At 41.2% G+C, this 12278-nt stretch overlaps 1 protein-coding gene across 7 annotated transcripts in view; it reads left to right on the top strand.

The window, feature by feature from the left end:
• BTBD9 (BTB domain containing 9) overlaps positions 1–12278 on the top strand; it is a 471479-nt gene that overhangs the window by 370514 nt on the left and 88687 nt on the right. The gene's annotated exons all lie outside the window — the stretch shown is intronic.

Genomic DNA, 12278 nt, shown 5'->3' with positions numbered 1-12278 from the left:
AATTGCACTGAAAAACTTAATGAGCCATTTTTTCCTCTAGCTGCTACAAAAAAAAAATACATAAAATGTTGCTTTATTTTTCTGGCTTCTCACCATTCTTCAAAAGATTTATCACACAGTTACATATTAAATTGATTAATTATCTTTTGTTTATAAGAATTTATAGTTGGTAGTTAGGATTTTCACCTTTATATACTGGTGGAGATGTTGCTATTATTTTTCTCATTAATGTTCTCTTTTTTAATGGTAAGTCATGTACCACATAGAGAATTATGATTTATCAGACACCTCAGCTTTCAAACAGAAAAATGTACTTATTCTAAGTGTTTAAATTGTATAGCACTTGCAACTTATTATAGTTTTGTTTTGTGTTTTAGAGGGTAGTTGTTTTCATGTGAGAGCCTTCACTAACTATTTCATGAAAGAAGTCCATTAGAGGAGGGACTAACAGGGAGGAAATTCCAGGACAAGTAGATAGAGAGACAGCATTTCATTGTCCATGGCCCACCGGAATAAACAGATTTGGGAATGCAGTGGGAGAGGGGCAGTAGTAAGTTCGCCAAGGGAGAACCTGAAGGAGGAACGAGTCGCAGCTCACGCTGGTAGTAAGTCTGAAGGAGGTCTGAATTGGATAGGCAAGTGTTTTAAAATCATTTCTAGCAAGAGCTCAAGACTTTGTAGATTGTGCTCTGTGGGGAAAAGAAGATGATTTAAAAGCTGGAGCAAAGGTTGAAACCCAGATCTGATTTGGGTGAAAAGGTCAGTCTGAGAAGAAAGAGAAAGAGGTGTGGGAAAATAGTACTGGTTGTGTTAAGAGAGACCAGAGAAGAGATTTGGTAAGAACAAAAATAGAGAGATTACGTGATTGAACAGGAAGAGTTTTGCCGGTCGTTCATCCCTGCTGGAACATCCTCCTGACTGTAATATTCAGAGTTGAGCCTTCCCACCTGTTTTGCCCTTCTGTTCTTTCCCTTTATCACCAGGTCAAGAGAATACAAAGATCTGCATGTAGCTAAATTGTGAGTTCTCCCACAGATACGGATTCTTCTGAAAACTTGATCCAAGGGAACAGGGAGGAGCCATGGCACTTATTAAATTTCTCTTTGGCGCTGCTTCTTGGTGCATTGTAGGCTGTGCGTGTGGGCACCTATTAGCATGTGTTCAGCGGATGGGCAGGAGAATAAGCTCAGTGGATGAAATAGCAGTCAGAATGGATATTTTTCATAAATTATCACTTATGTGAGACTCTCCAAAATGGTGTTGGGGCTAGGGGTGAAGTACTGGCTGGGGGAGGTTGTTTTTGCATTGAAACATAATTCATTCTATAGAACACTGAAGATATTGTACAGGAATAAGTGACCCAGGTTTTTTGAGAGGAGTGATGTATCTATAGTTGCCTCACCTCTTTCCATCATAATTCGCCTCTTCTGCTCCTCATTTCTCCTTCGGTTTTTGTTTTGTTTTGTTTTGTTTTTTGAGACGGAGTCTCGCTCTGTCACCCAGGCTGGAGTGCAGTGGTGCGATCTCGGCTCACTGCAAGCTCTGCTTCCTGGGTTCACACCATTCTCCTCCCTCAGCCTCCCGAGTAGCTGGGACTACAGGCGCCTGCCACCTCGCCCAGCTAATTTTTTGTATTTTTAGTAGAGACGGGGTTTCACCATGTTAGGCAGAGATGGTTTCGATCTCCTGACCTCGTGATCCACCCACCTTGGCCTCTCAAAGTGCTGGGATTACAGGCGTGAGCCACCGTGCCCGACCCCTCTCCTTCGGTTTAACTTAGTAGAGCTTATGATGTGTAAGGCATTGTGCTGGGAAATACCAAGGTCATTAGCCATGCGTGGTCCCTGCACTGTAGAAGCATGATCCAGTGGGCTCTCCTGAATGGACTTGGTCCAAAAAGCTGAAGGGAGGGGCCACTGGATGGTGTTATGCAGGGAACCTGGAGCCAAGGTGACTCTACTCCCCTACCTGTTGGATGAAGGCCCACACTGGGGCCTTTTGTTTCACAGGAGTCATAAATGTTAAGTAAAAATCCAAGAATTCTTAACACTCAGCTGTAGATTAGTACATTTTGAGCTCTTTAATGTGTCTGTCTGTTCTTATCGCCCTCCTAATAATTTCATAGAATTGAGGACAGAGAACAGAAAAGCTCACACAAATGCATATTGCCTTCAGCTATTAACAGAAGAAACTGATTCTGGCCTTTTACATTCACAACAGCCCGTAATAGCCTTCCTAGCAAATGAAGCTAAAAGCCAGCTGGACCTGATGCCTGGGAGCTAAGCCCTATCGTCTGGGCAGGACCTCGGCATTTCTGCCTCTCACACATCCTTTTCTGATCCTGCCGGTGAACCAAATCAGGCTGATCTCACTGATTGTATATATTCATCAAGAGGAGGAAGCTGCTGGGATCAAGGCAGATGGCCTTGCTGGAGAGGGGAATTGGTGATGCCAAATTTAAACACGGGGGAAGATCCGTAAAAGCTGCATACCTGCCTAGTGTGTCACTGCCCAAAAGGTCTGTAACATATTGTGACTTCACCTTTTAAAATATCATAAGACCATTTGAGGGGTTCCCAATATTTTTGATGCCAACATTTTGCTTAAGGAAGGGGCTGTATTAGAGTCACTTTCCAAAATATAAGAATGCTTTTCTTCTCAAGGGCTGTTTGGCCTGGACAAATTTTTATCATATTTCCACATTGAAAGCATAAAATGAGATAATTTTCTTTTTCTTCTTTCTTTCTTTCTTTCTTTCTTTCTTTCTTTCTTTCTTTCTTTCTTTCTTTCTTTCTTTCTTTCTTTCTTTCCTTTCTTTCCTTTCTTTCCTTTCTTTCTTGTTGAGACTGAGTTTTGCTCTTGTCGCCCAGGCTGGAATGCAATGGCACAATCTCGGCTCCCTGCAACCCCCTTCTCTCGGGTCCAAGTGATTCTCCTGCCTCAGCCTCCTGAGTAACTGGGATTACAGGTGCACGCTGCCACGCCCGGCTAATTTTTGTATTTTTAATAGAGATGGGGTTTCCCCATGTTGCCCAGGCTGGTCTTGAACTCCTGACCTCGGGTGATCCACCCACCTCAGCCTCCTAAAGTGCTGGGATTACAGGTGTGAGCCACCGTGCCTGGCTGAGAATTTTCATTAAATTGGACTGTGTAGTATGAAGTCTAGATCATAAGCCTGGGGCAAAATTTATTTGTTAAAAGAAAAAAAAGAGTTTGTCAAGTGATTAAATAATCTGTAAAAGATTGCTTGGGCAGTGTTTAGCCCATGTAAGAAAATTAACCAGGAAACTTAGGAAAATAGATTTGCGTTGAAAGCAGGAAATGTGCTGATTATAAATTGTTTTTTTTCCAAATGTGATAATGTATGCAAAAACATTTTGAAACTAGTGAGGACTGTGTGAATGTGAGGTGGGACTATGATTAATTGTTCACCATTCATTCCACACTCAGTATCTAATGAATATTGCAGCTGCAGCCATGTATTTGGTAATGTGGTGTTAGCTTTTATGTTATCACCTAAAACTTGAAGTTAAAAACTTAATCTTTCTAAGAAGTGAAAAGATGGTCTTAGTTAGCTGTTAAAAGTTGGTTGTTTTAGCCAGGTGTGGTAGCTCACGCCTGTAAGCCCAGCACTGTGGGAGGCTGAGGCAGGCAGGTCGCTTGAGCCCAGGAGTTTGAGACCTATCTGGGCAACATGGCAAATCACCTTCTCTACAAAAAAATACAAAAAATTAGCCAGGCCTGGTGGCGAGTGCCTGTAGTCTCAGCTACTTGGGAGGCTGAGGTGGGAGGATCACTTGAGCCCGGGAGGTGGAGGTTGCAGTGAGCAGAGGTTGCAGTAAGCCAAGATTACGCCACTGAACTCCAGCCTGGGCAACAGATTGAGACCCTGTCTTAAAAAAAAAAAAAAAAAAAGATTGGTAGTTTTGTATTGTCTCCAAGTTTTGGAAAGTTTTGCCCCATCCAGCTTTCCACAGTTATATCCTCCAGGCATATTCTCCATTGATATTTTTCCACTTTCAGATAACATACCTAGATTATACTATATTTCTCATGGTATGTGGGCTTTAAATAAATAAATAAATAATTATACTATATCAAATATAAGATTTCATGAGAAAGAAAATCCCTCCTTAAATATCCCCCTTTCTCAATGAGCCAGCCTACACAGTGGAGCCAAAATGTATACTTGCCACCTCCTCACATTTTTGTAATCCTGGACTTCAGTTGACTAAACACAGAAACTACATATGCCACACACCCGAGAGCTTCTGCTTGCCTTTTCTCTGGCTACCTGCAAGAGAATATTGTTAATCAGTGCCATCGTTTCTTCCCCTTTTAGAGAAATCACCCTCCACGTCCCAGATATGAGAGATTAAACATTATGAGACAGTAGGTAGACTCTCTGATGTCCTTTGACTAATGCATTTCCCCAGAATCCATTCCATCTGATGAGCAGCCAGTTTTTCCCTCCTCCTGCTATTAGGAGACTGGTGTTCCCTTTGCCCTGAAAGGTCGTGGCCCATTCAGAGGCAGGCCTCTGCAGTGGCAACACCTCAGGGGTTCTCATGTCTGGAATCTGCAGGGCAGCCGCCTGGTCTACTTCACACACTTTTAAGAAAACATGGTTACTGGGCTCTAGGCTCCCGCTGAGAATCTCATTTTGGACTCAGCGTCCTCCAGCAGCTCTTCTCAGCTGGACCTTGCTCCCCACCTGAGGGTGAAGCCACGTCATCGAACCCTGTGACAGCTGACGATAAGGAGCCCTCTCATCTTTGGGAAAGTCCCTCTTTCTCACCGGCAGAGTTGTTTCTCTGAAGCTGTATTAATTCCTTCTGGAAGCTGTTACAGGCTCCCTCCTGCCCCTCAGTAGCAGAGATTAGAATAGGGACCCTAATGTGTTGTTTGTCTTTCTGCTTCTCATCCAGAGGAGCAGGAACTGGACTTTTCCGAATTAGGTGAAAGTGCTGAAGTTTCCCTTTGTCACCACAACTCCTTACCTCTCTCCCTCACCTTTACAGCTGCCGCATCTGTTCTTTGCATCATGACCTCCAGTCTCTCTCTGTTCTGAACATTAGTCTACCATCTCTGATCCCACTTACCTCCTCAGAAGCCTACAGGTGGTCATTACTTTTCCTGGCCCTTCGTTCTCTGACCCTGGCCTGTATCCTCCTTGTCACTGTTGGCCCTGCTTCCCCAGTGCCACCGCTGAGGAGAGTTATAAACTACACTGATTGTTCCATCTTTGCAAGGCTCTCTCCCTGCAGCTCCACTGATGCCACTGAGCCCACTCCAAAGCCTGTTTTGCCTTGCCACCGTACACCACAGTCTTACCGCTCTCCGTTTCTACATAGAATCCTCTTTCATAATTGAACGAAAAGATTGCCATCATAAGGGAGGTTTCCCACCACCCCTGCTCTTTACCTCGTTGTCTCTCTGGTCCTGTAGCCATCACGGTATCATTGCTATCCTCACTGCCATAACATCTACTCTTATTGCGTACCTTTTCTGTCCAGTGCACTCCACCAGGAGCTTATCTTTGGCCCTTTTAGTTCCAAGTAACAGAAACCAAGTAAAGATAGGTTAAGCCGCAAATGGTAACTTTATTTAAGTGATTAGAAGATTTCTCACGGAATACTAGAGGAGAAACTCGGAGGGCCCTAGTAGGTTTTGAAACCAGACATTGGAATCTGTCGGGACCCCAGGTAGCCCTCCCTGGACTGCACAGCCTGTGGTCTCTGCTTCTCACTGCAGGTATCTTTCTTTGCTTCTGTATGCCTGTGATCAAAGAGACTCACCCCAGAATGCCTGTATTTTCATCATCTCATTTTAAGTGAACAGGGCACGTTAGGCTGGAATCTCACATAATTCTAAATTTTTGAGAAAGGAAATCTGATTAGCCCAGCATGGATTGGGCAGCTTCCAAGTCCAGAGGATAAACTGAGCTCAGGAATCTCCCATGTCCACCTTGAGGTTGTGCTGGAAAGAGTTGTCAAAGACAGGAGTTACTGTGTAATGTACAGACATACCAAAAAAACCTCTGCATATGCTATAACAGAATATTAAATGTTAGAACTGGAAGAGTGCTGAGAAGCCATCAAATCTCGACATTTAATGTCACAAAGGATGAAACCAAAGTATAAGTAAAGTGACTTGCCTAATGTTACTGAGTAGTTATTCAGTAAATATTTTTTGAATTGTTGAATGGAAGACAATTATTTCTGAAGAACTTAAAGGATCTTTACCAAAGAATATACTGTATACATTTTTGAGATCAGGAGTATCTTTCACTTTAACTGAAAGATTAGGAATGGATTTGATCATAAGTTATTGCACTGTCACTAATATCCTGGTTGCTGATCTTCCTTTAGTTGGTTTTCACCCAAATGAGAAAATTTAGCAACAGTGGCATTATGGTCCCAGGCCTTCCAGTGGAATTTCCCACAAATGATGGACAGTTAGAAACAGGCAAAACAGGCCCTTGCTTCTGGTCTAAAAGGCACCAATTCAGTGGAGAAGCTGTTGACCTCAACTGTTATACTTCAGCCATTGTTCACAATCTGGCACAGTATTAATCCCTTAAGAAAAGGATGAAAAAAGTGCCATTCAGCACAACATAGTTTGTCATCGCATGCATAATGTAGACTTTCCAATTAAAATGCTACAATTTGGAAACTTTCTTCACAGACTGATGAGAGAGCAACTATTTTAAAGACTGGAAACCTCAGTCCACTGGGTTTGCATTGAGTCACTTCTGACTCAAGCCACAAAGAAAAGAGTTTTGAAAACATATTCGCTATTGAATTTTGTATCAAAATACCAGCAAGGAGAGCAATTAGTTGCTGTAAACTGAACCCCTGGTAATCAATGGTATGCAGCCAGCCAGAGCATTTATGGAAGATGTAAGCAAAATCACATCTGCTAATCAATTAAAAAAAAAAAAAAGCCCAGCACTTCACTGCTTTTAGGGAAACTGCACAATGAGAATAAGGGAAGATGGAGGAGACAACATATATAATATCACCAGGCATTTCATGCTGTGCTCATTAGTTAGAGAGGTTTGTGGCAACAGCTAAACACCGACCTGATCTGCATCAATAAATCTTGGCCAGCAACTTCCTTTATTCAGCCCCTTTTGAAAATGGCTTCTGATCTATGGGTGGAAGTGTGCTGTGTATGTTTAAGGAGCTCATTTCAGTTAAGGTCATAGAGAGTGTCTGTCCTGGATGAGCTCACCATGCAAACATTCCCAGCTAGTTTACAAGTCAGAAATAGCTCTCTGTTGTTGCAGGCACAAAGACATAAGAATACACTTTGCAGGCAGCCAAAGAAGTGAAGGGAATTGGTAGAGCAAAATTCCTCTCAATGGAAAAGCAGAGGTTGAATCAGTTTTTCCTTTAGTATTCTTCAGCTGCAGTTGCTTTTTTCAGTCAAATCAACAAAGGGGTTTAATTCCTGGCTAAGCCTAAATTCCAAGCAAATGTGCATCCTAGGCATGAGTTAGAAGTCCTCTTTAAAACTTCAACATGTAGGTTGAGTCTGAGCCCTAGGCTCGATGACCTGAGATCCGTCAGTGTCCCTTTTCCACTCAGGAGTCACCATGACCCCACATCTCCAGTCCCTGGGGACTCTTAATAGAGGACTAGAGAGAGGATGTCTCAACCAGTATGAGCACTTGGCTGCTGTTCAGAAAAAAAGAATTTAGGCCAGAATAAATTAGTGAGGTAAAGATCGATAGACTAGGCTAATAAAAATTAATACCTTCAGCATGCAAACTATGATAGGCAGTGGATTAATATCCTTTAAATATAGAGGACATTTTGTAAGTCATTAACAAAAAGATACATATAAGTAGAAAATGGGTAAAATGTTCAAGCTCAATAAGTTAAAAATTGCAGATTAATAAGATATTTCAGCTATCAAATTAGCAGTATTTTTAAACATAATATATAATATTGGTGATGATGCACAGAAACAGGCATTTGTTATGCAGTGCTGGTAGTGTTAATATAAATTGGTATAGATTTTTGCTTGGGGTTGGGGGGAATAGAAGTATACAGCTATTTTATGATATACATCAAAGCCTCAAGATGTTATATGCCCTGTTCCAGGAGTTTCACTTACAGAATCATTCAAAGACAATAATCATAGATTTAGCTTAAGAATGTCTATCACAAAATTTTCATAATACGCTGGACTCAGTGGCTCATGCTTTTAATCCCAACACTTTGAGAAGCTGAGGTGGAGGGATTGCTTAAGGCCAGGAGTTGGAGACTAGCCTAGGCAACAAAATTAAAAAAAAAAAAATATCAGCTGGGCGTGGTGGTGTGCACCTGTAGTCCTAGCTACTCAGGAAGCTGAGGCAGGAGGATCACTTGAGTCCAGGAAATTGAGGCTGCAGTGAGCTATGATTGTGCCACTGCATTCTGCAGCCTGGGCAACAAAGCAAAACCCTGTTTCCAAAGAAAAAAAAAAGAATTTTCATAACAGTGAAATATTAACTACTTAAGTGTCAGATAATAATAGATTGATTAAATAAAGTATGAGACATCCATACAGTGAAATACTATGAAGTCAGTACATATGATGTAGAAGAATATTTGATGTTACAAAAAGATATTCATAATAGACCATTAAGCAAAAGTAGCAAGTTACAAACCATATGCACTGTGTGTATATGTTTTAAAAGTTACTGGAATTTCAGATTACCTTCATTTTAAGATAATAATTTGCCTTGAAACAAATTGGAGGACTTTTATAGAATAAGCTACTTACAGAGCATGATATATACAACTTAAAATTTTCCTCAAATATGTTATCACTCCAAGAATATCTACTAGAACATATATGATACTCATAATTTATCCTTCTTTTTTTTATCTTCTCCATATCCCATATCCTCTTCAAGGCTGTCATTTTCCATGAAATGTTTTGAGATGTGGTTAGGTTCTATCCCAAAACGGACTGACCATTTTCATTTCAGTCCTCTGTAGAAACACTAGCTTATGATTATCTAGAAGGATAGGGAATATGATAAACCTAGCTCTCCATAAATAATTAAAAATCCCACTGGGGAAAATAACCTCAACATTATCTTCCAACAACAGTTATGGTAACAGAACTGTTAAATGAAGAGAATGATTAATTGATTTGAAGTTTTCCCCTAGTTTTACTCTACTGTGTCAGAGTTACGAATGATTTCAATCCAGAACATATATGGAACATATGCCATGAACAGAGCCTACATGTTTGAAGCAGAGTTTTTAAAAAGAGAAAGACCAAACATCTTTCTAAAGTTCTTATAATCAAAATAAGAACCAGACAAACATAGGAGCAAAAAATACACTTTTAAAAGTTACTCAAAATAAATATAAATTAGCATAGGCTGACTGCATAAAAGTGCTTACAGACTAGGATAATATTTGAGGAAATGACTAATGAAGGAAATGATTCACGTTCTTATAAGAAAATTAGTGTAATCTAAGAGTAGAATTTTGGGCCACTTAAGAACAACAGAGTGGAATCCTTTCTGATTCATTCAGGGTACTTGGAGAGATTAAACACTCAGGCGTATTAAAGAGAATCAGTAGGTATCATCTACTAATGCTTTCCAAACCCATTTAACAGTTTTCTCTACTTAAAAGATGAGTTCAAAAATATTAGGTAGCATGGGTTTAGTAATTGATAGCAAACAGAATTACAATAGAAAATAAGGAATGAAAGGGAAGGCGAGCCCTTTAGGAGGCCAGGCGAGAGGGTAGCTTGAGGCCAGGAGTTTGACCCCGCCTGGCCAACACAGTGAGACCCTATCTCTACAAAATAATCTTTTGTTTGTTTGTTTTTTAATTAGCTGGGTGTGGTAGTGTGTGCCTGTAATCCCAGCTACTTGGGAGGCTAAGGCAGGAGGATTGCTTTAGCCCAGGAGTTTGAGGCTGCAGTGAGCTATGATTGCACCACTGCACTCCAGCCTGGGCAACAGAGAGAGAAGCTGTCCTCCCAACCTTCCCCAACAACAAAAAAGGTAACGGTGAAGGAAAACGGAAAACACAGGCAATCCTAGTCCTCAGTAATAGCTTTATATGTGATACTAAACTGAACTTGTGCAAAGGATTTTCACTGATTATAATCATAAGATTAAGGGAAAATAATACAAGCTACTTTTATAGAGTGATAGGTTAGAGGTTGTAAATTGTGAACCAGATATGTAAACTGAGAGTAATGGAAACATTTGGCAGTGGGATTACAGAAATGGGCTTTTGGTGAAGGTACCAGGTTAGAACCTTGTATCATTTCCATCACTTAGTTACTGTATGAGTTTAGACAAGTTACTTAACATGCTTTAATCCTCACACTTTCAATATCTGTAATTTCATAATAATAGTGCTTGCTAAGAGGATATTTAGAAGGATTTTAATAAGACGAATTGTACAGAGCACTTAACATAGGGCCTAATACACAGTTAACATTAAAGAAATGTTGGCCATCATGATCATTATTATTGATTGTTTTTTGTTTTTTGTTTTTTTGAGACAGAATCTCGCGCTGTGGCCTGGGCCAGAGTGCAGTGGTATGATCTCAGCTCACTGCAAGCTCCGCCTCCTGGATTCAAGCGATTCTCCTGCCTCAGCCTCCCGAGTAGCTGGGATTACAGGTGCCCACCACCACGCCTGGCTAATTTTTTGTATTTTTAGTAGAGACGGCGTTTCACTGTGTTAGCCAGGATGGTCTCAATCTCCAGATCTCATGATCCACCCGCCTTGGCCTCCCAAAGTGCTGGGATTACAGGCGTGAGCCACTGCGCCCGGCCATTATTGCTGTAGTTACAAAGAATAGATTTGCTCAGCAAGCACTGACTGAGTTTAAGCTCCATGTGAGACATTATGTGAATGGTATAGAAAAAATCAGTAAGACGTAGACACTGCCTTCAAGGAGCTCACTATCTATGCCAGCTGGTAGAAGAAGCAAACACATATGACCAACTATAAAGCAGTAAAACACATAGTTTGTATGGGAAGGACTTTTAAGGTTGAAATAATACAAAACAATATCTGTCTCCCCTGTGGCACTGTCAGAAGCAAAACACTAATCCTGTACTGCAATGCTCAGATTATTTTTTAAAATTATTTTTTAGGCCGGCCGCAGTGGCTCATGCCTGTAATCCCAACACTTTGGGAGGCTGAGGCAGGTGGATCACCTGAGGTCAGGAGTTCGAGACCAGCCTGGCCAACTTGGTGATACCCCATCTCTACTAAAACTACAAAAATTAGCTGGGCATGGTGGCAGATGCCTGTAATCCCAGCTACTCGGGAGGGTGAGGCAGGAGAATCACTTGAACCCGGGAGGCGGAGGTTGCAATGAGCCGAGATCGCGCCATTACACTCCAGCCCAGGAGACAGAGTGAGACTCCATCTCAAAATATATATATACATATATATTTTTTTTTTAATGGAGGAATAACACACACAGAGTGAACAGATCTTTTATGTATAGCTCAGTGATTATTTACATGCATTTATGCCCGTGTAACTACCACTCAGATCAAAAATAGCACTTTTCCAGTATTCTAGAAAGTTCCCTTTTACCCTTTCCTAGTCGATACCTCCCCCAGAACTAACCACTGTTCTGATTCCTGTCACCAACAGATAAATTGTCTGCTTTGAGCTTCATGTAAATGGAATTACACAGTTAATGCTTAAGTTCTTATCTGGGCAGAAAAGGGGGATAAGAACAGGACCAAGGTAATCAATTTCTAAATAATGAAAGTTTTGCAAATGAATGTATATTTGCCTATATCTCCAAATCAGATAATCCTACTACAGCTATGTAAAAATCCTGGTGAGAATAAGAAGGAAACTAAAACACGATAATAAAGGTGATGGGGTTATCATCAATTAGAGAATACTATAAGAAATATCAATTAGACCAGCACAGCGGCTCACACCTGTAATCCTGGCACTTTGGGAGGCTGAGGTGGGAGGATCACTTGAGGCTAGAAGTTTGAGACCAGCCTGGGCAACATAGCGAGACCCTGACTCTACATAAAATTTAAAAATAGCCAGGCATGGTGGTGCATGCCTGTAACTACTTGGGAGGCTGAGGTAGAAGGATCACTTGAGCCCAGGAGTTGGAGGCTGCAATGAGCTATGATCATATCCCTGCAGTCCAGTCTGGGCAGCAGGGTGAAAATTTGCTCTAAAAATAAAAAATCAATTAGGCTGGGCACGGTGGCTCGCACCTATAATCTCAACACTTTGGGAGGCAAAGGTAGGAGGATACTT

This window comes from Homo sapiens, chromosome 6 (assembly GCF_000001405.40).
Source record: "Homo sapiens chromosome 6, GRCh38.p14 Primary Assembly".
NCBI lineage: Eukaryota > Metazoa > Chordata > Mammalia > Primates > Hominidae > Homo > Homo sapiens.
Note: the sequence above shows the minus strand (reverse complement) of the source record. Positions and strands in the feature narration are given on the sequence as shown.